This window comes from Homo sapiens, chromosome 10 (genome assembly GCF_000001405.40).
Source record: "Homo sapiens chromosome 10, GRCh38.p14 Primary Assembly".
Classification (NCBI taxonomy): domain Eukaryota; kingdom Metazoa; phylum Chordata; class Mammalia; order Primates; family Hominidae; genus Homo; species Homo sapiens.
Genome location: NC_000010.11, coordinates 124,618,981 through 124,644,398, shown reverse-complemented (window position 1 = coordinate 124,644,398; position 25,418 = coordinate 124,618,981). Strand labels below are relative to the sequence as shown.

At 55.5% G+C, this 25,418-nt stretch overlaps 1 protein-coding gene across 1 annotated transcript in view, besides 10 other annotated features; it reads left to right on the top strand.

Moving 5' to 3' along the window:
* The window catches only part of FAM53B (family with sequence similarity 53 member B), a 125,087-nt gene extending 99,980 nt beyond the window's left edge, over positions 1-25,107 (top strand). The window contains exon 5 of the mRNA NM_014661.4: positions 20,795-25,107. Coding sequence (NP_055476.3) covers positions 20,795-21,157 — 363 coding nt within the window. The 3' untranslated portion in view covers positions 21,158-25,107. The remainder of the gene's footprint in view (positions 1-20,794) is intronic.
* Positions 1,572-2,309: an enhancer, noted in NCBI's record as "H3K27ac-H3K4me1 hESC enhancer chr10:126330659-126331396 (GRCh37/hg19 assembly coordinates)". NCBI's record gives its function as "activates a minimal SCP1, AML or CMV promoter by ChIP-STARR-seq in naive H9 embryonic stem cells {active_cell/tissue: H9 hESC(naive)}" and the evidence as "EXISTENCE:reporter gene assay evidence [ECO:0000049][PMID:30033119]".
* Positions 3,107-3,156: an enhancer, noted in NCBI's record as "active region_4170". NCBI's record gives its function as "activates an Ori minimal core promoter by ATAC-STARR-seq in GM12878 lymphoblastoid cells {active_cell/tissue: GM12878}" and the evidence as "EXISTENCE:reporter gene assay evidence [ECO:0000049][PMID:35858748]".
* Positions 3,788-4,527: an enhancer, noted in NCBI's record as "H3K4me1 hESC enhancer chr10:126328441-126329180 (GRCh37/hg19 assembly coordinates)". NCBI's record gives its function as "activates a minimal SCP1, AML or CMV promoter by ChIP-STARR-seq in primed H9 embryonic stem cells {active_cell/tissue: H9 hESC(primed)}" and the evidence as "EXISTENCE:reporter gene assay evidence [ECO:0000049][PMID:30033119]".
* Positions 5,686-6,186: an enhancer, noted in NCBI's record as "H3K4me1 hESC enhancer chr10:126326782-126327282 (GRCh37/hg19 assembly coordinates)". NCBI's record gives its function as "activates a minimal SCP1, AML or CMV promoter by ChIP-STARR-seq in naive H9 embryonic stem cells {active_cell/tissue: H9 hESC(naive)}" and the evidence as "EXISTENCE:reporter gene assay evidence [ECO:0000049][PMID:30033119]".
* Positions 13,696-14,548: an enhancer, noted in NCBI's record as "H3K4me1 hESC enhancer chr10:126318420-126319272 (GRCh37/hg19 assembly coordinates)". NCBI's record gives its function as "activates a minimal SCP1, AML or CMV promoter by ChIP-STARR-seq in naive H9 embryonic stem cells {active_cell/tissue: H9 hESC(naive)}" and the evidence as "EXISTENCE:reporter gene assay evidence [ECO:0000049][PMID:30033119]".
* Positions 16,464-17,419: an enhancer, noted in NCBI's record as "H3K4me1 hESC enhancer chr10:126315549-126316504 (GRCh37/hg19 assembly coordinates)". NCBI's record gives its function as "activates a minimal SCP1, AML or CMV promoter by ChIP-STARR-seq in naive H9 embryonic stem cells {active_cell/tissue: H9 hESC(naive)}" and the evidence as "EXISTENCE:reporter gene assay evidence [ECO:0000049][PMID:30033119]".
* Positions 17,420-18,375: an enhancer, noted in NCBI's record as "H3K4me1 hESC enhancer chr10:126314593-126315548 (GRCh37/hg19 assembly coordinates)". NCBI's record gives its function as "activates a minimal SCP1, AML or CMV promoter by ChIP-STARR-seq in primed H9 embryonic stem cells {active_cell/tissue: H9 hESC(primed)}" and the evidence as "EXISTENCE:reporter gene assay evidence [ECO:0000049][PMID:30033119]".
* Positions 18,376-19,331: an enhancer, noted in NCBI's record as "H3K4me1 hESC enhancer chr10:126313637-126314592 (GRCh37/hg19 assembly coordinates)". NCBI's record gives its function as "activates a minimal SCP1, AML or CMV promoter by ChIP-STARR-seq in naive and primed H9 embryonic stem cells {active_cell/tissue: H9 hESC(naive and primed)}" and the evidence as "EXISTENCE:reporter gene assay evidence [ECO:0000049][PMID:30033119]".
* Positions 22,208-22,708: an enhancer, noted in NCBI's record as "H3K4me1 hESC enhancer chr10:126310260-126310760 (GRCh37/hg19 assembly coordinates)". NCBI's record gives its function as "activates a minimal SCP1, AML or CMV promoter by ChIP-STARR-seq in naive H9 embryonic stem cells {active_cell/tissue: H9 hESC(naive)}" and the evidence as "EXISTENCE:reporter gene assay evidence [ECO:0000049][PMID:30033119]".
* Positions 24,061-24,190: an enhancer, noted in NCBI's record as "active region_4169". NCBI's record gives its function as "activates an Ori minimal core promoter by ATAC-STARR-seq in GM12878 lymphoblastoid cells {active_cell/tissue: GM12878}" and the evidence as "EXISTENCE:reporter gene assay evidence [ECO:0000049][PMID:35858748]".
* Positions 25,108-25,418: the final 311 nt, after the last annotated feature.

Genomic DNA, 25,418 nt, shown 5'->3' with positions numbered 1-25,418 from the left:
GTTCTAATTGGCCTTTGCAGAGCCAAAGCTCCTAGGTTTGCTGGCAGAGGACGTGAAGGGGCTGTAGCCACTGGTAGTGCTATGAGTTGCGGTCTTAGCTGTCACTGGGTAAGGGCTGTGTGCCATGACTGTGCTAGCCCAGCTAACTCGGTGAGCTAGCTCTCCTTACCAGCATTTTCCAATTGAGGCAGGCTCGGTGGGGCCAAGTGACCAGGCGGTAGACAAATAGCTGCAAAGTGGCCAGGCCTGGGTACCCTCTTCCCCCAACTATAAGCAGCTCAAGGCCTGGTGGCTTGTGGCCCACCAGGTGCCCTGGGAGCAGGCACCGGGTGGTGAATTTACCCTGAGTCACATCTTCGTTGGAGCAAGGCCAGTTTTGCCCTTTCTTCCCGAGCAGGTGTGGAGGCCCCTGGCATGAGCAGGAAACACTAGAATGTTCCAGAGACCCAAGGGACCAGCCTTTTCTGGGGGCAGATGCCATGTACAGATGGGCATCTCCAACCTCTGGATGCCCTGTGTCTCTCTGAGGATGGGGCGGTGGTCAGAAAGGGCCCTGTCTTCCTAGCCTGCTGGCCGCTCCAGGAGCCGCCCAGCGTGCACCGCTGTGCCTCATCTTCTGAGCCTTCCATCCTCACTGCTCCTGGGGGCAGCCCTGTGGGGGAAATCACGTTTTTAATTAGCCTGGTTCGGGATGGCGGCTCTAAAGCTCCGGGCCGTGAATGCAGCCTCTTCGCCTTTGGAATCCGCTGCCAGTGGACACAATGTAGCTGTAGGAATGAAAACAAGAGAGAGAAAGGCCCACAGGCTCAGATTTTTAATTGGCACTGTCCTCCCAGCCCTGCACCCCCCCGCTGGCCCTCCCGGGGCTCTGTTTGGGCGGCCGGGCCCGGGCGACGAGTGATGGAGGCTTTCACAGCTTCAGACTGATTTAAGTGGACCTGTATAGATTCCTGCAGCCACGCTGAAAGAGCCAGGCGCAATCACCGCGCCGAGAAACCCTGGGAAATTTATCAGCCACCTGCGCGTCGTGAATAGGGAGAACTGCTGAGGGCCCTGCCGAGCCGCCTGGGCTTCAATGGCCCCACAGCCCAGCCTCACAGAAGAGATTTTTCTAAAGCTGCAATTAATTTTTTTCCCCTCAATCAATTGGAAGTTGCTTTCTTGCTTTCAGCTGGGTGAGTGTGATCCTTGATTCTGTGATTCTCCCTTAACCTGAGCGTTCCAACAATTGACGTTTCTCTCCAGAGACAGACAGCTTTATTTCCTGTCGGCCATCTAGGAAGAGACATTTTTGTTTGTGTTTTGTGTGTCCTTTTCGTGCTCTTTCTTTTCTTTCTTTAAGATCATCTCAAGCTAACAGTGAGAAAAAAGGCATATGTGAGCGATTCTGCCTCGACAGGTCCCACGATACCGTCAGGAATGTCCGTTTTTCTTGCTTTCATGAAAACACTGTGGGGTCTTACTTAGAGGAGACAGTGGTAGAGATGAAAGAAGGAAGGAGAGGAGTGCATGTAATGCGGAAAGGAGAAAGGCAGTCTTGCCGGACTGCCAGAGAGCCGTGTGCTGCAGCTTCAAGAGGTTTCTCCTAGACCGACCTCCACCCTGCAGGAACAGTTATGGGGACAATTCTTGGCTCCTATTTAATTTTACAATGAGAACCAATTCCACTGCATAAGAAGAGAAGGCCACCCTTTCTGCCTGGAGTCACTGTCTGAAAGCTTCTGTGATCGGCAGTTGCACGTGCCCCTGTGTCTCGGGGATCCTGACTCACGGGGATTTCAGGTTCCGTGTTCACTCAGGGACATTGCTGCCGAAGGATGGCAACCATTCTGGCTGCTGTGGCAGAGCGGGACACCTGCAAGCCAGCCTGAGCACCCATCTGCCTGTTGGGCCACCGGGCAGCTTCTGCAGATGGGAGTCATCAGGCTTGAGAAGGTGACATCTGGGCTATGCCGGGCTGCCCTTCTGTTTTGGTAGAGTCACTGCCTTCACTGCCCCACCCTTGAAACTGGCTTGCTTTTGTCACAACCACCGGAGAGGCGTTGGTGTGAGAGTGAGACCCGTCACTGTGGACGTGTTCACACGCATGGCGCTCTGGCTGTCCTCTCCTTCCCTGGAGCCCGTGCCTTTGTTAAGATCTCTAGGACCTGCTGGCATGGCAGCTTGCCCGTAAAGCCTCTCAGCAGGGAGGGCTACTGTTCTTGAGGGTGAGAGACAGAAGTGGCCGCCCTGTGGTCTGAGCCTGCCCGGCACAGCCACTGACTGCACTTGTGGTGACTGTCAGTTAGGGCTCCGATGGCTTATTCTTCCTCGAGGAACACTCACGTTCTCAGGGTGGGCATGTATGCACACGTGTATGCACGCACGCCATTTGTTCAGTTGTGTACCTGCTTTAGGCTTCCGGCTCTCCAGCTGGGTGACCTTAGCAGGTTCCTCAGCCTCTCTAGGCCTCTGTTTCCTCAACTATAAAATAGTATCACTGGCACAGGCCTCCTGGGGGTTCTGGAGGAACCAGCGAGTCGCGGTGTGCCAAGTTCCTTTCGCAGTGCCCAGCACATAGTTAGGATCTAGTTCATGGGACCTGTAAGTCTTATCAGTGCTTGCCGTCTTAATAAGACCCACCTGTTGACACCTGGGACCGAGGGTCAAGAAGGGGCTCCTCTCCTCTCTGGCTCCCAAGGAAGGGGCCTCTTGCAGGCACAGTGGATCCAGTGTGTTGGGGGTGGGTGGTGCTTTTCCCCTAAGGCCATGGTGGTTGCTCCCTCGAGGATTTTAGAATCTTATCTCTGAGTTCCCCGTGACTCTCGGCTCCTGTTTTCTAGTGAACATGGGCCTCAGTGATGACACATGGTTGTCTGGCAGTTCCTTTTTGTGGTAGCCACTTGCTGATAGAAGGAGAGGCACCTCCCCAGTGGGTTCTGTGCTTTCTCTGAAGCACCAGATGTTGGTGCCAGGACAGAGTTGGCTCATCTCCTAACTTGGGCTGAGCCAGTGATGGTCTCAGCCAGAGGCTGGGGCCCTGTCCTGAAGCTGGTCTTGGGGTAGTGTTCTCACTATTCCACCACAGCTCACACTTCCCATCTGCACTGGAAGGGTTACTGGGGGCTCAGAGTTAAACTGGCCCCAGCATTATTGGTCACTGTAGAAACTGCAACATGTTGAAGTGAATCCAACATATCGAGGAAGAGGTATGTGTGTGACGTGTGAGCATTTACCTTTAAGGGAAGGAACTGGATGAGAGCCAGTCGGGGTCCGTTGGAGGCTGCCCGGGACTCTGGACAGCCCCTGAGGGTGTCTGCTCTGGGCACTGTGCTGGTTTCTTCCTGTTTTGTCTTACTGGTTTTGTCTTCTGGGTGCTTTCAGCCTCTCCCACACACATCATTTGTCACCTAGGCGGGGTATGCTCCAGAGGAAAGTAAAATACCCACAGCCTTTGTCCCTTCCTCCCATCTGGCTGAGGGCTCTTCCTAGTGTGGGGTCAGCGGGGCGTGCCCTCTGCGGCCTTTGCCGGGCTGTTGCCTCACTCTGCTCTGCCGCAGCGGGGGCTGTCTTTTTCCTCCTCCTCTCTTCCTGCGCTCGGGGCTGTATTGCATGGTGGTCAGCGCCTGATCCCGGATTCAGACTGCTGGCACCTAGATCCTCCCCACTCACTCCCTGTGTGGCCTCACCAAACCTCTGATGACAGTAGCGCCCCCTCCCAAGGTTGAGGTGAGGGTTTAGTGGGGCGATCCCATGGAGCTCAGGGTAAATTCTTAGTAAACATTAGCTCTGCCATCATTCGAGGCTCTGCAGCTGCTAGGACACCAGAACGAACCTCCAGAAATGCCCTGCCTTTGTTCCCAGGACAAGACAAGATTCTAGGGGATGACGGACTGGTGGGATTCATGGCATCTCCACCTTTGGGTTGGTTTTCTGCACAGGAAGAAACACATGGATTTAAGAATGATTTAGGGTGGCTCCAAGCCCTGCACATTCTTCAGGGGCCATCTTGGTGTGCCCCCTACTCCCCTTGTTATCCCAGCCACTGCCTGCCCTTTTCTGGGCCAAGGCTTGGCTGCTCAGGAACACGATCCCTCCCCAACCTGCCGCGCAGAGCTGTGCAGGCTGAGGGTGCTGGCCGGAGAGGTGTGGAGGGCCTGAGGCTGTGCTGCTCCTCACACTCGCAGACAAGCCCACGGGGTGCACCTGAGAATGCACCTGTAGCAAGGTGCAGCCGTCAGGGCTCCCTGAATTGCCTTCTTTGCTGCTCCAGTTGGTGTGGTGGCTCTGCCCAAGGGCTTTCAGCCTTGTAGTTGGGAATTTTTACCAAGCAGCAGGCAAGGCTTGCTGGGGGTTCCTAGGGGTAGAAAGTGATTTTCTGCCATCCTGAATTCTGGTATTTTATGGTAGCAGTGAGGTGCAGCGTGGTGGTTAAGGGTGGGTGCAGGCTTTGAACAGACAGATCTGGATTTGAACCTGGCCCTGCCACTGCCTCTCGGTGGGAGTTTGCCCAAACCAACCTCTGTCTCTCCAGGTGTAAAAGGAGGCTGGCAGAGCCTGTCCCTTGTGCCTGGATGATGAGCTGATGGAGGTGAGAGGTCCCCCCATGCCCGCCCCAGGCATCTGTCTCCAGCACTTTCACTCAGACGCAGCTAGGCACTCTGGGATGCGGGCGCTGTGTTTGTATATTCTGCCAAGCATTTAAACAGTAATGAACAAAAGGGGAAAATATAGAAAGGGGGGGAAAAGCCTATCAGAAAATTCATAGTTATGTTGAGGTGTGTCCCTGGGAAAGTCAAAAGAACAGAGACCCACCCCGGCCAACCCTTCTGGAGCCTGAGTTGGGCCTCTGAGTGGGAGCCCCACCTGCCAAGCACCCTGGGCCTTGAGCTGGGTCTTCCCAGGACCCCTTCTGATCCAGCCTGCACAGCTGCCTCGAGAGGTCTGCCTCGTGATGCCCACCATGACCCGCCCAAGGCCACTCAGCTAGACAGAGCAGATTTTCTATTTCTGTGTCTGTTTGGTGGCAAACAGCATGCCCCGGGCTGCATGCCCACTGCTGAGGATGGGCCCTGTCCTCAGCCCTCTTGGGGATCTCCTGGCACCTCCAGTACTCTTTAAGGAAACATTTCCTGAGTGCCTGAACCTGGCACAGAATCCTGACCTCCTGCTGGGGTGGGTCTGGCCCGGTCCTGGTAGAAAATACAGAACCCAACCCCCCATGGCCCACCTCTGAATCCCTGTGGTCCAGAAGCCCTGAACTAGGGGCTCCCTGTCAGGTGTCACATTGGGTTAGAGAGACGGGACTTATATGGGCAAGAGGCTGAGCCACCCCAGGAAGGGTCCCTGGTGGGTAAGTCTGGGGTGAGTCTCCCCACATCTCCACCCAATAGCTAAGCCAGTATTTGGTTTGCCTCCAGGTGAGAAAAGCCTTAGCAAATGCAGTCTCCAGCAGGTCCTGTGGGGCTCAGGGAACACCAGGGCCCTACATATACTTTGTCCCCACCACTCACTTCTGGCGCTGCAGGTGGGGCCAGCTGAGCCCAGAGGAGCAGAATGTGCCCAGGAATGTCCTTCCACACCCACCACCAGCGGGCATGTCCATGGCCAGCTGCCCTGCTGGACGTGCTGGGATGTGCTGGCCAAGCCTTGCTGGTCTGCCACCTTGTCCTCGCCCCTGAAGGGCTCCAGTAGCCAGCGAGGGCCAGCATGGCCTCCCCCGCCCCAGCATGCCTGGGGTCTCTGCTTTCATGGACTGTTTGTGGGTGGGGTGAGGTGGTCAGTGGTCCTCCTTGTGCTGTGTCTGCCTGGGGCTGCTCGTGGGCAACGTGGGTCACTCCCTCTGTCGTGGTGCAGCTGGCACCATCAGGTGCTGTTCAAACCCCTCTGAGCCCCGAGCTGCTTGTGATCTCATTTCAACTCCATGCAGCCCCTCTAGGGCAGTTTTATTTCCCCATTTTACAGATGGGAAAAGAGAAACTCAGATTGCGTAACATGCCCAAGGAAGCACCGGTCCCAGTGTTTTGTTTTGTTTTGTTTTGTTTTTGAGGTGGAGTCTCTGTCACCCAGGCTGGAGTGCTGGAGTGCAGTGGTGCAATCTTGGCTCACTGCAAGCTCCGCCTCCCAGGTTCATGCCATTTTCCTGCCTCAGCCTCCCGAGTAGCTGGGACTACAGGCGCCCGCCACCACACCCTGCTAATTTTTTTGTGTTTTTTGTAGAGACGGGGTTTCACTGTGTTAGCCAGGATGGTCTCAATCTCCTGACCTCGTGATCCGCCTGCCTCAGCTTCCCAAAGTCCTGGGATTACAGGTGTGAGCCATGGCGCCAGGCCCGGTCCTAGTGTTGACAGGCAGGATCCCACCCCAAATGGATCATCATTTCAGTCCTTCATTCAGCCACCTGACCCTGTTTTTCCAGGCATCAGGGTTGCAGCCCACAGAGGCACTCAGACAGGGAGGGCCCACCAGCTCCTGGGTGCGGGGGGCTCCAGAATGGAGAGCGAAATTCCCTCTGCCTGCACAGAGAGGCTCCATGGAGGCTTTGATAGGGCTGGGGTGGCTGTTTCATTTCAGCTGGGCTATGCAATGGCAGGAAGAGTCTTTCGGGAGAGAGAGGTTTAGGAAGCGGGCGATCCTGGCCTATGGAGGGCACTCCATGGGAGGGGCTCCATGTGTCCAGGGGAGCCTGAGTAGGCAGGGAGGGTATGAGTGAGATTGGCCTGGAGATACCGGGCCTTTAGCCCTGGAGTGAGGTGTTTGCTTTTTATTCTGAGAGCTTGGGGAGGAAGGTGCTGGATCAGGTTTGAGACACATTGAGCTGAGAGGAGCGTGGGACATCAGCAGGGACATGCCCATTGGGTCTGGAGCTCAAGATGGGATCTGGCCTATGGTGGCCATTAGGGTGGTCAGCAGTACAGGTCTGAGTTGGATTTGGTGCCCGGTCGCAAGTTGCATCGAAGCTAGTCTCGGTGCAGTGGCTTTGCAGGGTAGGGCAGGGACACCCGGGGCTCAAGCCGAAGACCCTCATTGTGCAGATGGGCCCAGAGCAAGCAAGACTTCCCCAGGGCATGCCCAGCACAAGGCGGCTGGAGCCAAAGCCAGGCACCCACGTCCTGCCAGGTACGTCCTGGACCTGCGCTGCCTCATGGCATGTCTGGTTGTCTCCTGCCACCTGCGGACCCTGTGAGGCCCAGCACCAGCAAGGGTGACCCAGCCCCTGCTCAGAATGGAGGAGAGATGGAGGTCCCCAGAGGTGCATCTAGACCCCATTTCCAAGGGGGCCCTCTCGAGTGGGAGCAGGGAGCATTTTGTCAGAAAGGGCAGCCTCTGGAGGGTTGTGGTGACTGCTTGCTCCTGGAGTTTTCTGTGCTGAGGCCTCTTTGGGCAGATAAATCAGTTGTGTTTCTGCAGCGCTTGCCTGCCTTCTCCTTATGACTTCTGTTTTGATGTTGGGAGGAAAGAAGTCTCGCTCCCCCCAGATCGAGAGGAAGTCTAGCTGCACCTGACTCTGGGAACTCCGCCTCTGCATCTCTTCTGCTTGGTGGGTGTGAAAACACGGCCAGTGGGAGCGGGGCTCTGGCGTCACAGACATCAGAACTGCAGACACCTGGCCCAGGTGTCCGTGTTCTGTGTGTCCTGCGGCCACCGAGGCTGCTCACAGACATGAGAGGCCATTCCCCACCCAGAACCATTGGTGACAAACAGGCAGCCTCCTCTAACCTCCGCAGGATGGGGCCCGGCCTGGCAGCTGCCCCCAGTGGCCAACGTGGGCCTCTGTGGACAAGACAGGTGCAGCTAAGGCTGCAGGTGCAAAGCAATCCCAGGGTGGGCGGGCAGGGGGCCACCTGAACCTCTGTACAGCAAAACAGTGTTTTCCTGGGATCTCCCTCTTCCTGTTGTTCTGTGAAAGCACCTACCAGCCATGTGAAAAGCCACCCGGCTAACCACCCACATGCAGGCGTCTGGCACAGGGTGGCTCACTGGCCGTTCAGGGGTCGGCCCCTCCTGATGTTTGCATGTCCCCCTTGTGTGAAACTCAGATTTAATTTGGTGATTATTAAAGTGCAGGAACCTGGGGCTGGTAGAGGTTTTTTGTCCACAGATTTTGCAAAGTGCCGTTAAAAAAAAAAATTCATACGCTTTGTTGCTACCAATAAAGAGAAAAGGAAAGAAAAGAACTTTGGTAGAGAAACATCGAGAGATTTTAATATGGAGATGGGGTGGGAATTCGACCTTGGAAAACACAAGCGATCATGTGAATAGGATTTTGGCCTTTTCTAACTTAGTGTGTGCTCTGCTCTTAAGATAAATACACACACACAGAGATAGACATGGCATTTCATTTTCGGACAGTACATTCACGTGTTCGAAAATTAAAACAACATACAGAGTAAACTCTTGCCCCATCTCTCCCATCTCCCATGCCCTCAGATGGACCGCTAGTTTCTTGTGCTCCTTTTTACAATATAAGCAAATAGGAATTTCAATTCTTATTATAACAGAGGAGATAATAGCATGCAATACATACCTTGCTGTATCTTGTTCTCTTGAATAGTAAACCCTGGAGGTGTTCTCATGCCCTTTTTTTTGGCTGCACGGTGTTCCACTGCACAGATGTACCCACTTTGTGGGGTCCCCTGCCGACTCCTCCGGGCTGCTTCAGCTGTGAATTTCACGTGCATGAGTCCCTTTGGGCATGGGAGATCCGTCTTCTGCAGGGTCCGTTCCCATTGGGATTGCTTGGTCACACGTCGTGTGCCTTTGGCCTCTTGGAGGATGTCGCCAGGTTAACGCTGTAGGAGCCCTTCCTCCCTGCATCTCAGAGGGCCACGTTCAGGGTGGTTTGTTTCCCACCCCACCTCTCAGTAGAGGCTGGTCCAGCAGTTGACATTTTCACAACCAGATAGGTAAACGGTTTCTCTGTCATTTTAGTTTGCGTTTTTCTAATCAGTTGAACATCTTTTGTATATTTAAAGGCTATTTTTATGTCCTTTTCTGTGTTCTTTTCATTTGCCCTTTTAAAATAATTGTGTCGGCCGAGCGTGGTGGCTCACACCTGTAATCCCAGCACTTTGGGAGGCCGAGGCAGATCACAAGGTCAGGAGTTCGAGACCAGCCTGGCCAATGTAGTAAAACCCTGTCTCTGCTAAAAATACAAAAAGTTAGCCAGGTGTGGTGGCGGGCCCTGTTTTCCCACCTACTCAGGAGGCTGAGGCAGGAGAATTGCTTGAACCCAGGAGGCAGAGGTTGCAGTGAGCCGAGATCATGCCACTGCACTCCAGCCTGGGTGACAGAGCAAGACTCTGTCTCCAAAAACAAAAATAAAAATAAAAAATAAAATAATTGTGTCATTGGTCGTTTTCTTCTCAATTGTATATTAGGGAGATTAATTTTTGCCTGTGATATGAGTTACAAATATTTATTACTAATTTGTTCTTTGTTTTCTGACTTTGCTTTTGACATTCTTGAGCTTTATTGAGATATAATTCATATACCACACAGTTCACCCATTTAAGGTGTACAACTTAGTGGTCTTGAATATATTCACAGAGTTCTACAGCCATCACCACAATCAATTTTAGAACATTTTTATCACCTCAAAAGAAAGTCCATACCCCTTAGCAGTCACTCCCCGTCCCCTTCAGCCACCACCACTCCCAGCCACTGGCAACCACAAAACTGTGTTCTGTCTCCATGGGTGTATTAGTGCGTCCTCACGTTGCCATAAGGAAATACTTGAGACTGGGTAATTTTAAAGGAAAGAGTCTTAATTGACTCACAGTTCCACATGGCCGGGGAGGCCTCTGGAAACTTACAGTCATGGCGGAAGGGGAAGCAAACACATCCTTCTTCACATGGCGGCAGGTGAGAGAAGTGCTGAACAAAGCCCCTTATAAAACCATCAGCTCTCGTGAGAACTAACTATCACAAGAGTAGCATGAAGGTAACTGCCCCCATGATTCAGTTACCTTCCACTGCGTCCCTCCCACGAAACGTGGGGATTATGGGAACTACAATTCAAGATGAGATTTGGGTGGGGACACAGCCAAACCGTATCAGTGGGTTTCCCTATTCTGGACATTTCATATCAATGGATCCATGAAATATGTGGCCTTTTGCGTCTGGCTTCCTTCACTTAGCGTCATGCTTTCAAGGGTCATCCACACCGTAGCATGTATCAGTATCTCCTTTCTTTTTATGGCCAAATAATATTCTGTTGTACAGCTAGACCACATTTTATGTGTCCATTCACCAGTTGATAGACATTTGGGCTGTTTCTACTTTTTGGATATTTTGAATAACACTGTTGTAAATGTTTGTGTACAAGTTTCTACATAGACATATGTTTTCATTTCTTAGACATGGAATTGCTGGGTCTGATGGTAACTCTGTGTTGAACATTTTGAGAAGCTGCCAAACTGTTCTCCGCAACGACTGTACCATCTTACATTCCTACCAGTGCTTTTGGCATTTTTTGACATGTAAATGTTTTTATCAAATTTATTACTTATTTCTTTTATGGCTCTGGATTTTGAGTTTTAGAAAGGCCTTTTTTTCTCACGAGATGATAAAGGAAGTCTCCTGTTTTCTTCTAGTACTTTGATGGGTTATATTACACTCTTTGGTCTGTGTTGAGTTTATCTTGTATGTGGTGTGAGTATGGAGCCAGCATTTTCTTTAATGTAGCTGCCTGTCTGTTTCAGTACCATCTGTTGAGAATGCCATCTTTTCTCCTCTGCTTTGAGATTCTACCCTTATCATATACCAAACTGGGTCTATTTCAGAACATTCTGTTTCATTGGTCTCTGTAGGTATGCATGTACGTTCATACTAATATGCTGTTTTAGTTATGGAGGCTTAGTAATGTGTTTTGGCATATTATATGGTACGGGCTAGTCTAGGAGGGTTAGCTTCCCCACTGTTCTTTACAGAGTTTTCCTGACTAATCTCACTTGTTTATTTTTTCATTAAAAACTTGAAAATTAGTCTGTCTTAAGACCATGGGGATTGGGAGTACTGTTGATATTTTAGATTGGGATCATATTAGACTTCTGAATTAATTTAGGGAGAATTTACACCTTTTTGAGGTTGAGTCTTCCTATCCCTCACACAGGATTTATTTCTATTTGTTCAGTCTTGCTTTTCTGTTCTTTAAAGTTTTTTTTTTTTTTTTCTATCAATTTTCCCAGTTCTTATAAGTTCATTCCTGGGTATTTTATCTTTTGTGTTGCTGGCGTGTCTTCTTGCTCTTGAAAGCAGATTGTTGTTAGCAAGAGTGGTTGGATATAAGCAGAGCTCCCAGACCCCTTTGCTGTGGCCTTGCTGTGTCCACAGAGAGACAGAGGCACAGTTGTGGGGTGGAGTGTGGGAAGGGGGGATCGCACCCTTGGTGGTCTCTATTTATCCCTCCAAACACTTCTGAGGCTTTGAGGCTCTTATTAGCCTTGTACACATGAGAAACTGAGGCACAGAAGTTTAATGATTTGCCAAGTTCCCTCAGGGCACACCCGAGCTGGGATTCCAGCCCAGGCCTGTCCAGCCCATACTACCCCACCGTCCTGCCGGAGGACTGCATGCTTTCCTGAGCACAGCCCAGAGTGATGGGGTGCGATTGCACATCACGCAGCTGTGCAGTCTGGGGCATGTCCCTTCTCCTCACTCGGCCTCTGTCTGCTCATCTGCAAGAGTGGCTAAACCAGTTGGTGATTTGCTCACTTCTCCAAGAGTGTGCCCTCCATGGAAGACAATATCTGGAACAGAGTTGTGAGCTGCTGGGGTGGAGCCCAGAGGCCGTGCTCAGCAGTCCTGTCTTCAGCACCCCGATGTGGCCCCAGGCAGCTGAATGCGAACGAGTGCCCACCAGCCCCTCTGAGAGCCTTGGACATACCTTCTGCATCGCTAGTCCTGCTCAGAAGCCACCCCCAAAACTGTGAGCCCTGCTGGTCGACTCTATTCAAGGTCTGTGGGCGCAGGCAGTACATTAGCCTCGGCCCCCCGCCAGAACCCTGTGTGCTTTGGAAAGGTCCCTTGACTTTTGTTAGGCAAAGAATTCTCTTCACGCCAAGCTGCGAGCGAGGTGGTTTCACGAGTCCTGTCCTGAGTGTGTGCTGGCTGGAATGTACACCACAGAAACAAAATGTTTGTTTTCCAATTGTGAGAGCACCGGGAGGCCCTTTGGCGTCAGCTCCCACACCTTCTGTGTTCGGGCAGGCCATCTGCCATCTGGGGCCTGGTGCAGAAACGTCGCCACCGTGTGGCCTGTGGGGTGCCCTCGGAGAGGGGCCCCTGGGTTGGCCACCATTCAGAGGACACGCGTGGCTCTGGGCCTCCAAGGTCTGTTCTTACCCACGGCATCCTGGGGTGTAGGCCTCAGGACCCCAGGGCTGTGCAAACAGAGGCCCAGTTGGGAGGGCCGACCGGGTGGGCCCTTCCTTCCTACCTACCCTCTGCCCCCAGGCTGCACGATGCACCCACTGTGAACCAGGCCGTGGCATGTGGGGTCAGGGTTCCCTGCACGCTTGGCAGGAAATGGGGTACACACAGGAGCTTGGGCCTGCTTCCGGAGTGGCTGCTGCAGAGGCGGGTTTTGGTGGGAGAGAAGGAATCTGCCAGTGAAGAGGGAGACAGGGCGGGGCCGTCAGGATGGTGCTGACCCAGGGCTGGTGCAGAGGGGGTTTATGTGGCTGAAAGAGGTTTGCTATAGAAGGAGTCAGAGCCTGAGTGGGAGCAGCAAGGGCGGAGGGCCCAGGAAGCAGAGCCTGAGGAAGAGGGGCCTTGGGAAAGGCCAGCCCGAGAGTGGTGGCCGGGCTCTGGCCTGCGTGGCGGGTTTGGCCCGATGAGCACCACTCTGGTGAACTTGACAACTCCCCAGGCCAACGGAGTGACTTTCTAGGGCTCCGTTATGAGTAACCCTCTGTTGCTGATAGCCCACGGGATGAGTGGAGTCCACAGGGCACCTGCTGGAGCCCACGCTTGCCTTCCTTGGGTCTGGCAGGGGAGATAGTAGGCTGGGCCTGCTGGCCCTAGGTCCGTCTTCAGAGGCCTGGGATTTTAGGTGTCTGGGCTGGGGATGGGCTGTCCCCAAGATCAACTCCTCCTTCCCCCACTCCTTCAGCCTCCGGAGGCCATAGGTAATTTTCCTTAGAGTCCTTGTCCCCAGCTGGGTCCTAGGCCTCGAGTTACCGTAGGCAAGGCTACACTGTGTAAAGAATCCAGCGGGAGGGGTGCCCCCAGGATGCACAGCATGAGGGCCCCAAGAGAGCCACCAGAGCGGGGACAGCAAGGCCAAGGGATGGCTGGGGGTGTGGAGACCATGGAGAGAGCCCCAAGCTGGTGCCACCCTTCCCGAAGTGACTCAGCGTGGCCTGGACTGGCCGCCACACAGCATACCTGGCTCTGGCACCACCTGGGCCTCCCAGATCTGGAGGGGATGTCAGATTTGGGGCAAGATACCTTGTCCACAGAAAAGGAAAAATGGCGCCTGCCCTGTGAGTCTGACCAGTCTGAGACAGTGCCGCCAAAGTCTGTCCCCTGCTGTACTGGCTTCTGGAACGGGGTGACCACAGTCTGGCTGGCATGTGGCAGGCGCTCAGTACACATTTGTTGGCCTCTGCAGAAATGAGCTAAGGAAACTGTCACAGGAAGGTGGGAACTTTCCTAGTAACTGACCAGGGCCAGCCTTCCACCCTGAAGATATTTACCACCCCCACTGGGCCATTTGCTTCTAGAACCTGTGGTCTGGGAAGAGTCTTGAGTATCCATTGCCAAATCAGTGGAGCTTCCAGGGCCCTGGAGTACCTTCCCGCTCCTGGCAACCTGATTTCCCTATTTTCAGGCCCTGGCAACCTGGCTTCCCCATCTGGGTTTTGCTGCCAGTGTTGCCCTGATTCCTGAGGGTAAGGAGGCAGTCCAGACTCAGAAGGGCTGCCTCTTTGGGGTCCAAAGGTGGTAAGCATTTCACAAAAATGGGCTGGGCATGATGCTGTCCCCCGCTTTTCTTTTTTTGGAGAGACAGGTCTTGCCCTGTTGCCCAGGCTGGAGTACAGTGGTGCAATCTCGGCTCACTGCGACCTCTGCCACCTGGGCTTCAGTGATCCTCCCACCTCAGCCTCCCGAGTAGCGGGGACCACAGGCATGCGCCACTATGTCAGGCTAATTTTTAGTTTTTTTGGTAGAAATGGGGTTTTGCCATGTTGCCCAGGCTGATCTCAAACTCCTGGGCTCAAGCAATCCACCTGCCTTGGCCTCCCAAAGTTGTGGGATGACAGGTGTGAGCCACCCCGCTTGGCTGATGCTATCCCTTTTTAAGACTGGGCACCAACACGGCCCTGGGCGAGCAGCTGACCTGGCCTACACAGGAGGTGGCTGGGCAGCAGCAGAAGACCAGATGCCCAGGGGAAGGGCCCTGCAGAGCCTGGGCAGTCAGCCCCTAGGGAAAGGTTGGCCATGCCCACAGCCTTCGAGGCATCTCTAGCACCTGCAGCCTCAGAGGAAAAGAAGCCACCACCACCTGACCCCTCTGGCCCCAGGGGCAGGGGCAGCAGCTTCCTGTGAGAAAGAGTACGGCCTTCACGCAAAATCCAGATTTACCAGAGATGGGTTAAAGATGGGCCAAAAATATGCTTGTGCCTTTTTTTCTTTTCTGAAATAGTTTTTTAAAAAGCCTAGGAAACCACATGCCTTGCCGTCTTGGTTGTTTCTGTGCCAGCTTCCAGCACAAATGGGACTTAGAAAATTTCCAGGCTGTTGGCCATCCATTCTCATAGCCTGGTGTTTTCTTGATACTTGGAGAATTCTGTTCTCATGCAAGCGTCTGTTTGGGGAGGAAATGCGTCCACTCAGCCAGAGCCTGGGGCCCCTGCAGCTTTCAGCAGGGCAGCTGCCAGGCCAGGCTGGGGACCAGCTCTGCTCGTGACTTGTGAGTTGGGCTTGTTGATGGCCCTTTCTCAGAGGGACTCGAGGTAGCTCCATGAAGACCTCTAACACAGAGCGCCATAAAACTGGACTAAAAAGAGGGAGAGAGCAAGGGAAGGAGGAAACGCAGCTGGTCCCGCCATGAGGAGCAGTGGCACAGGAGGGAAGTGGTCTTCGCTTGCCCAAAAGGGAGGCACTTGAGCACCTCTGGGAGACGGACTTGGCGCAGGCAGGGGCCCAGAGGAAGCCTCATGTGGGCACTACACTTAAGACACCGACTAACCGAGGAGAGGCGTCCCCAACAACCACCCCTCCCCAGCACATGCCAGGCAGGCTGGGGCCAGGAACTGGACTCCCCACAGGGCCCCGTGGCCAGTCTCTGACCATGGCTTGACATTCCCGTTCTAGAAAGAATAGTAGTACTAAGAAGCAGGTGCATAACCTATAACTACATTAACACCCAGGGTGCTTTTACCTGTGGCTTTAGATTGGGTCTCTAGAAGCGGGGCCTGAGCCGGGGATTCTCGTGCCAGTGACACAGAGAGGGATGCTCCCAGCAAGAACCTTCAGGGAGGCGAGGGAAGCCCATGAACTGCAGAGGCCCAGGAAAGAGGTGGGCTCAGCTGAAGTCGCTTCTCAGCCTGGTGCTTTGGGAGCTGCGAAGTGTGACTAGCACGTGGGACTTGATCCCGCCCAAGAGGAGGGACAGCTCCTGTCCCTGCACCTGTTGGTCATTGGCTGGGGGTGACCCCAAAGGGAAAGGGTAACCTCCTTCCTATCCTAGATCTCCCAGCCCAGAGTAGTTCCGGAAGGGGCAGCCATGAACTGTCAGAGCCAACACTCACAGCAGTGGAGAGTGGGCACTGCTGTGGGTTTGGGACTCCAGGTGGGACACCAGCAGCCTGGCTTTCCTCTTAGGATCCTTGCAGTGGCCCTGTGAAGCAGCCTGGCCAGAGACAGCAGTTCTGCTTCCCAGGGGAGGAAACGGGAAGTGAGGCCACTTGGCCAGTGGAGGATCTCAGTGCCTCCAGCTGCAGAGTCTAGTTTCCCACTCTCCTCTCCGGAACCCTCCAGGTTCAGTGGAGAGCCAGGGCCCAGGGGGTGAGAATACCGCAGCCTCCTTCGGAGGAGGCAACCGGGACAAAGGGGAGTGGTCACTATCTGCTCCCAGACATATCACCTGACCAGCCAGCTTTGTCTTTGTCACCGGATGCCCACTCCTGCATGTGGGGCCGTAGCTCATGAGTTCTAGGGACAGCAGTCCCTAGACAAATGCTGGGGCTGTTTCCCCCTCCACTCCCCAGGCCTTGCCCTTCGGAGCCCAGAGTGGGTTCTGGGTCACTACTGATAAAACATGTGGTTTAGTTCAGCTCAGGAGATGTTTCTAGCGTCTCTATTACGTGTTCACCCTGCTGGCCCAGGAACAGCAGCACCTGGGAGAGGGAATGAGCTTGTTGGGCTGAGGCTGGACGGAGTGAGTAGCAGTCTGCCTGGCAGCAGTACAGAGCTGATATGTTGAGTTGATGAGTTTCCTGAGGCAGGTCTGTATTTCAGCTTGTACCTAGAAGGCAAGGACCAGGCCACCTTTGTCTGTATCCCCGTGGACTCAGGAGAAAGTATGGGAATAAATATCTGCACAGAACAGCCCTGCAGAAGAGGGGTCATTGCTCCAAGCTGGGAAGCCCTAGGGAGGCCGGCTGGGGCAGGCTGAGCAGGAAACCCCAGCTGGGGCCAGCGGGAATGGCCAGGGCCTCTTTGGTGGCTAGAGCTGAGGTCTAGGGGGTCTGATGGAAAAGGCAGGGCCTCCATCCCAAAGTTGCCTCTCTAGCAGGCTGCTGTGGTCTGCCTTTTGCAGACTCTAGGAGTAGGTCTTGATCCATGTCCCTGGCCACTAGCCTGAGGCCATAGGGACAGTTCCCACTGAGCTTTTTACCTGGGCAGGCCTGTTCCAGAGTAGGTGGCCCAGCCCAGGGCTGGGGCTGGATGTCAAGAGAGCAGAAGTCGACGGGCTGGGGGACAGTTGGTCCTGGAGCAGCACTTTCACCTTGGAATAATGTGTTCATGCAGCACTTTGAACTTAGCCATTTTGCGGCTTTTTGCAGACATTTTTGAGGGCACACAGGCCTCCAGGCTTCCAACTTGCCTGTGCAGTGTTCTTCCATGGGGTAGCTAGAGCTGCTAGGAGACTCTGGGGCGGGACCTTGCCCCGGGGCATGGAGGGCACAGGGCAGCTGCAGGGCCTGGGTGTGGCACACCCTGGGTGTCTGCATGGGGGTTGCTCACGAGGGATGGGGCTCTGGGCAGAACACACACCGCCCCATTGTGGCAGTCACATTCCTTCCTGACAGGTGGGGCTCGCCACCAGCTGGGGCAAACAGTGGGTGGTTCTTGGCTTTCTTTTACTGTGGCTGAAATGGCTGTTTTGAGTCAACGGAATTCTCAAGGTTTCGCTGGCTTTGTGGCCAGGAAGCAGGTATATTTGAAGAATACTGGAGACTCAGTGGCATTCTGGGGTTTGCTTGTGACGAGATTCACCAGCCCTTCCTTGTAGACTCCCCCTGCTTCACAGCAGAAAGGGCCCAATTAGTCCAGATAGCCCTGAACACCCTGACTCGGCAGGCAGGCTGGCTGCAGCCCAGAGGTGGAAGAGTTGCCTGGCGCCGTGATGCCCATGTGGATGGAGTCTGCCTCTGTATTGCCTGTCTGACCTCAGCCCCTTCCAGGGCGCAGTGAGGCAAAAGCCACACGTCTGTGAAAGGTCTAGCTAATGGGTCTCCAGTGCCCGTGCCTGGCTATGGCTAATGCATAAAGTGTCTTACTTTGTTTGGGCTGCTGTGACAAAGATGCCTTAGACTGGGGAACGTATAAACCGCAGAAATGTATTTCTTAGTTAGAAGCTGGGAAGTCCAAGATCCAGGTGCCAACAGGATCGGGGTCTTGTGAGGGCCTGCTCTTCATAGTTGGCACTTTCTCACATCCTTGTCTGGCTGGAGAGGCACCTGCGCTCCCTCCAGTCTCTGTTATGGGCCCTCATCCCATCTGTGAAGGCCCCTACATGACCTCATCACCTCCCAGAGGCCCCACCTTTTGCACTGAGGAATGGTGGGGGGGGGGGGGGCACAAATTTCGACCGTAGCACCACGGTTAGTGCCGAGACCCACACAATCATGGTGGCCATAAGTTAGGCACCCCCGCTACCTGCGCCTTATGCCAGAGGAGGTCAGTGGGAAGCTCCGAGCAGGACCGAGAGGGTGAGCACAGACAAGCGCTGTGCGGCGTCTGTCCGATTGCGCAGGCTGCGCTCCTGCTGCGTTCACGTGCGAGGCCACAGAAAACACTCGCAGCAGGCCACGCCCCAGGCCCCTCACATGACAGCTCGCAGAAAACGCTGGCACGCGTTCGGGCGTCAGGCACACGCATCTCAACAGATGTGGCTGACACCCAAGGCAGTCGGCCTCAGTGCCCTGTCACCCACCTAGAACCTGTTCACAGCATGTCATCCGGGCTGCTCTGGCCTTGACTGGACATGATTATTTATCCTTACACACCGTGGCTGCTCTACAGGCCAAGAAACAGGCTGCTCAGCCAGGGTCAGGAGAAGGTGGGTCAGGCTCCCCGGGGACCTCAGGCCCTGACGCATCCTGGCCTCACCCTAGGCCTCCTCTGTCGGGGCAGCCTGGCTCAGCAGAGCCCGGGACACACGGCTGAGGCCACCCAGGCTGGGCCATCTTGCCCCTGTTTTGTGCCCCCTACTCAGTTCTCCTTCTGTCCTGGCTCAGGTCTAGGCCAGTCAAGAGGGTGGCTGAGAAGCAGGAGGAGCCTCAGAGACCCTCCCCTCGAAAGCACTGGGGCTTCCACCTCACAAGCGGCAGGTTCGCTTTGGGAGCTGCTGGTCCATCGCCCAGGCCTGGCCAGGGGCAGGCGAGGATCCTGGTTGCCGATCCATCGTCCAGGCCTGGCCAGGAGCCGGTGAGGAACCTGGGGCTGTTGTGCAGGGGTCGCCGTCTCCAGCTCTCTGCCGTGGTGAGGGGATTGTGCTGTGTGCACACCACCGGGCTGCATCGAATCCCACCATGGCCCAGAGGGTGGACCTGTGGCTCCTTGGGGGGCCAGCATCTCCAGTCTAATGGGTGCCCCTGCCACTCTCCTGAGTTCCCGTGCAGAGCTCCCCCCAACACCTCAGCCTTCACCTTTCTCAGTTAATCAAAAGATTCCAAAAAAAGCAAACCCATCAGAACGGCTTCCTCCACCGAGTGTTCAGGAACAATGAGCGTGCCCATGGCAGGCACATATACCTTCCTCCAGAGAGAGCGCCTTTTATTTCCCATCCGCTGAGGCTGGTTCAACAGCTTGTTGGCTGTGACAGCCAGTGATCACCTGTATTTCAAAGAGACACACAAACACTGCAGCCTTTGAAAGAATCAGGCCCTCGGGACAGGTCTGTGGTCTTGGCGTCAGCAGGCGTGCGGCGAGGGAGGCGGCGGGTGCTCCAAGGCCCTGCTTTGCTTCCCCAGTCCCCACCCATCTGCTGGGAAGAAACTAAAGGCTGGAATTCCCCCCTGCCCTCTGTGCGCAGCTCTTCCCTCGCTCCCCTCTGCTATTCGACCTCGTTGCTGCAGTCCGGTTGGGGATATCCAGGACTGCGCCGGGAGTGCCCCTCACTGTCTCAGCCTCTGTCCTGTCTGTGGCATGTGCATCATTCTGAGGAGAAGGCTGGATTTTGTGCTCTGCCCTGGGAGCAGGTGTTGAACTGCACCCACTTGTGCACAGTGTCAGCCCTACCCCCATCGCTGGCAGCTGACGCCAAGCAGAACTGGCCTGCGTACCCTTGAAATCCTGTTCAAGCTCTGCCTGCCGCTCGGGCAGGCCCCAGGCTGCCTCCTGCCCCAGGCCAGCCTGGGAGCACACTTGGTGCCTGGGAGCACACAGAGGGAGCACACTTGGTGAGCGGAGAAGCTTCTGCGCAGCCTACTCTCTCTCTGGGGCCTCAAAGGGCCCAGCAAGGCAGGCAGGGAGCATCATGCACCTCTTCCAGATGAGGCCCCCAGCTGGCGAGCACCAGAACCTGGAGCCTGGCCCCTCCTCAGCAGATCAGACCTCCCAGTCCCCAGCACCTGTGGAGGGCACAGGACCACTCCCTTCTAGAGACTCTGTGTCTCCAGGTGAGGCCGAGAACTCATGTTTCCCCAGCTCCCTGCATGGCTCTGTTACACACCAGGCTCAGGACTTCAGCTCGGCCCCTTCTAGCCTGCGGCTCCCGCTCTGGTTGTGGAGAGTGGGTAGAGCGGGCGTCGTGTCGCCCTGTGTGGGGCAGTTACAGCCTGGGCTTCCTCCAAGTCAGATCCCTTCTCAAGGGAAGTATCGCGGCGCGTCAGTTATGTTTGCATAGAGGTCCCTGCTTGAAAAACATTGATTTCACCACCATTGTAGGGTGTTTGGGTTACTCTCTTCTTTTCCATTTAACGGTATGTTGCCAAATTTTTACACACATCTTAGAATGTTTTCTTAAGATAAAAATCCAAGTAGTGAAATTACCTGATCAAGGAATTGGATATATTTTCCCCAGGTTGCGCTTCAGAAAGGCTGTGGACGAAGTGTTAGGAGCATTCCTGTTTCACCGCAGCCCCCCAGAACTGGGTCTGCATCAAATTTGTGTGCTTTGCCGAGTTAGTAGGTGAATAGTGGAATTGCGCGTGTCTTTATGAGCACAGAGCGCTCATTGGCCGGAGGTGCATCTTCATGAGTACGTTGCTCATGGGCCCGTCCTTGCCTGGATAGGAGGAACCCGGGACTTGATTGGTCTTGCCACAGCCTGGTGGTCTAGTTGCTTTGTGGGGTGTGCAGTCCTGGGGCTGCGGGAGGGGAGTAACCCTTAGTAACCTGTGTGTCTGCCCCTCCACAGAACTGTCAGACCTTCAGCAGCCTCAGCTGCCTGAGCGCAGGGACAGAGGACTGCGGTCCCCAGAGCCCCTTCGCCCGCCACGTCAGCAACACCAGGGCCTGGACCGCCCTGCTCTCAGCCTCCGGCCCAGGGGGCAGGACCCCCGCTGGGACCCCGGTCCCTGAGCCTCTTCCCCCTTCCTTCGACGACCACCTCGCCTGCCAGGAGGACCTGTCCTGTGAGGAGTCAGACAGCTGCGCCCTGGACGAGGATTGTGGCAGGAGAGCGGAGCCGGCTGCAGCCTGGCGGGACCGCGGGGCCCCTGGGAACAGCCTCTGCTCCCTGGACGGCGAGTTGGACATTGAGCAGATAGAGAAGAACTGAGGGGGTGTGGGCCCAGGCAGGGCTGGGGTGTGCTGGCATCGACAGCCCCCACTCTGGGCACTAGGTGGGCCCTTGAAGGGGAGCCCAACTCGTGGGCCTGATGAAAGCTTCCTGAGTGGTGTCGGGTCCCAGAGAGGGAGCCCACCTGCTGCCTGGGGGAGAGCCTGGCCTGGCCGCGTCATACAGCGGGTGTGTCAGCCTCTCACCGGCTCCCCGAGCGTGGCAGCCACCAGGTCCACAGAACTACTGCAGCCCAGAGGACAGCTTTGAAGTTTGCGTCTTTTCTGCCTCTTTCCCTGTGGGATGTTGGGCAGTCTCTGTTGTCCCCGGCAGAGCTGGGCACCGCTCTGTATCCCCCTGGTGGTGGGGGCTGTCAGGGAGGGCCTGGGGTGGGGGCCAGGGGCCATCTGCTATGTCAGGGCCCTTCTTGGCCTCACTCAGGTTCACTTCTGGGGAGTCGGCCCCGCAGCTTCTTTCACTCAGTTTTACTCCGTGCCTTCTCTCCCAGGTCTCCCTGCTTCAGGCTTGGGAAGGTTCGGGAGATGCTTCCTTCTGTAACACCAGAACCATTTGGCCTTAATTCCAATGTGAGAGACAGAATCCCTGGGGTGCTGGACTGGCCCTCCAGAGGGTAAGCCATGTCCGGAGTCTCGGGCCCAAGGAACGATTTGGAGGGTGCTTGTTAGGGCCTCCCGTGTTGGGTAGAAATTTGGTGGATCTGTTGGCTGAAAAGACGGACTTGCTTGCCTCTCCTACAGCATGGAGAGGCTGACCCCATGGCTCTGCCACCGTTGGGGCAGGGTTAGCAGATGGCAGCCCTTCTCTGTGGCTGACAGGTCACTGAGTGATAAGCATGGTTGGTTCCGGTGAGTGTAGGGATGGCACGATACCAGGGCAGCCTCTTGAAAACGGCCTCGGGAGACGGGAGCTGCGAGCAGGTGGGCAGATGAGGGCCCTATGCGCACTCAGGGGTGAAGGGCGTCCGCTGGCCACTCTGCAGGGGCCCCTGCAGGATTCCAGGCACCTCCCGTTTGTCCTTGAGGACTGCTGGCTGTAACCAGGGCACATCACCCACCTCAAGACAAGCCCACGCCCTTGTCAGCTTAGGGGGAGCCCAGTCCTGAGGGCTGCATCTCTGTTGTAGGCCCAGCCACCGGCACAAAGCTGGATTCATGCTCCCTGCCCCTACCCCACCCTGGCTCCTCACCCTGGGGCATCCGAGGAGCCTAGCCCCCTGAGGGTTTGCTCTCCTCTCAAGGTTTGTAGCTCCTCTCCGGCTGCCTTGCAGACACCACCACATGGGCTCTGCTCTATGGGAATCTGGCTTTTAGCGAATGTGGCGTCTTCTGCAAACAATAGCAATTGGGCTGGCTTAGGAGCAAGTGGCTCATTTTCCCATAAGGCTAAAAATAACTGGTGCGCTCCCTTGTGTTGGCTGACACGCGCGTTCAAAGCACTTTTGTAGTCACTTTGCTTTTGCTCGTCTTCATGGACGAGTGAACGCCTCGCTTCTGCAGGTTGAGTCCAGATGCTTCTCACCTTCTTTCTCCTCAAGAAAGATGCTTTTTGGGAAACGTTGTTTAAATCTTATTTTTTTACTACATCAAAAGGATGGTGGTTCAAGTTCCCAATATGTGGGTGGCACTTCTTAAAAATCAGCTTTAAGGAGCTGGCAGAAAGCCCCCAGCCCCACAGCCCTGAGAGATGGTGTTGCTAGCTCAGGTGGCTGACACATGGGGTATGCCGGGCACTGGGCAGGTCCCAGAGCCGGGGAACCAGCTCACCTCTGGTTGCTGTAGCTCCTGCCGGAGGCATGTCTACTTGTGATCCCGGACAGCCGAACCCAAGAGCTGGTGGCTCTGAGCAGACAGAGACATCTTGGCCTGTCCCTGCCTGGGGGTCATGGAGACCATGTCTTCTTAGAGCAAATGTGGAGGCGGCCAGGGCAGTTGTTGGGTGAATGTGGAGAGCACATGGCCATGTCTTGCCCCCGGAGTACCACTGGGCGTGGGGGGTCCTGGCACCACATGCCCGGTGTGGCCGAGGGCACACAGCCTCTATAGCAGGCCTTCCTGTGGAAGGCAGAGGCAGTGAGGGAGGTGGACGGTGCCAGCTGAGGCTGAGGCATGCAGCAGCCCCCAGCTACCTTTGCTTAGGGCTGGGGTGGGAGGCACATGGTGACAGGTATATGTCGTGGGACTGGGGTGTGGGTGACCTGCCCTCAAACCTTGCCTGCCACCTCCCCATTCAGGCCTGGTGGCAGGAAGGGACAAGCTGTGGAGCTGGCTGAGTCACAGCCACCTCCCCACCTCCCCGCAAGCTGGTCCCATCGACCAGCAAGCCCAGCCCCAGGGCGCTTAGGGAGAAATGACCCAGCCTCCTCAGACCCCGCCTGCCTGTCCTGTGCCCACCACGCAGCAGTCAGGGGAGAAAATGGTGGCTATCCCTTCTGCTTAGAGAAAGAAATGGCCTTTAGCTGGTTTCATGTTTGTGTTTTGACTGGAGGGAGTAGACCCTATCTATAAGGTGCCACCCCATCATCCAAGCTGCCACACTGCCCGGAGCAGCCTGTTCCTGCACTCCACCCTGCTGGCCCCAGGACTTCTGATCTCAGTCCTCTGGGAGGGAGGTTCGCCTAGGAGGTGCCCCCCACATTGGTGTCCCCATGGGCAGCAGGCAGACAGCTCACCCCCACCAGCATGATGGCCCCAGCTGGGGGCAGTGGCAGGAGCCTTACTTTTGTCACAGCCTTGCCCACAAACCCTGCCTCTGAGGGGAGACTGAGGAAGGGCAGAGCCAGAAGCAAGCCGTGCCAGGCCATCTGCCTGCTCATGGGGTCCTAAAGCGCGGGCTAAGCCTGCAGGAAAGCCGGGGCGGTGGGGGGGGCTTAGTGCCACATGCACCCCACTCATTCCAAAGCCACCAAACTGCCAGGGGCTGCCGTCCACCCGTGGGGCCCAGGGGCTGGGGCCACAGCCTTGCCATTTTCGTTGCCATACCCTCTTGCCTTACTCGCGGTGGAGGCCGGATTTGCACGGGCAGACGTGCACCTGGGCCCGTGGGGAGCTTGTTCTGACCAGACGTACAGATTTTCATTCTCAGAAAGCCTTACTTTTCAACCAAATTTTTGTAGCCAGTTTTGTGAATTTGTACACTGAAAGAAAATTTAAATAAAGGGGAAGTCCACATTAAAAAGAAAACAAAACAAACCCTAACTAACTTCCAAATGGGTCTCCTGGTGCGGGGGCGTGAGTGGCCGTGCCCTGGGTGTGCTGCCTGTCTGAGCAAGCTTCCCTAGCTGTGGAACCCCGGGCCCCCTGCTGCGGGCTCTGCCTTGGTGTCATGCCTGCTGCACCCCCGTTTCCACTGACGTGCCGTCTGTGGCTATGGGGGTGGTCACTGGAATGACGGTCACTCCAGACGTCAGCCGGCAGGGATGCAGCAGGCTGGCCGCGCACCGGGGCTCGGGCACCCTCTGGCCCCACACTGGCAATGATGCCACACCTTGCCATGTCCACGCTGTTGGTCAAACCCCTCTGTCATGCCTCTTTAAAGAGAAAAGAAGAGAAAGATTTTTTTTTTTTTTAATGGCAGACCGAAGTGGAGATCTTGTAGCCTAGATAGGATAGTCTGACCTTCTAGCATAGTCTTTTTGGCAAATGATTTGTGTTTTCAGTGTGTGGGGAAGCTGTCCTGGGGGCTGGGGCGACAGATAGCACATAGGCTGTTTCTGGGGCTGCAGGGGCTTCCCTGAGCTGGATGTTGTGGGTGTTGCCGTGCTTCAGGAAGTGTGGCGACCAGAAAGCGTAGACCCGGGGCCCAGGGTCTGCCCGCCCCTGCAGCCTGGCCTCCCCGCACAGGCTGTGGCTTGCACTCCAGCCGCTCTAGTCTCTCAGGAATTTGCTTGTTACTTGTACTGTGTAAATAAAGCTTCCTGGTTCAATACCCAAGTGCCTGGTGCCAGCTGTGTGGTTTCTGTTGGGTGTGGTGAACTGGCAGGTCCCCCCTGCTCACAGGAGCATTAGCTCTGGGCGCAGAGAGACCTAGACTGGACCCTTCTGTCCCCTCCAAGCCTCGGGGTCTGAATCGATAAAATGGGGCTAGCAGACATCACAGAGCTGTGGAGACGCCGGGGGACGGGGGAAGGCTGCCCATGGCCACAGCTGCATCATGGGGAGCCCTTCTAGGGCCAGGAGCCCCAGGACAGCAGTGGGGAGACACTCCTTGTGTCACTTGAGTTAGAAGCCATGGAGGAGTCTGC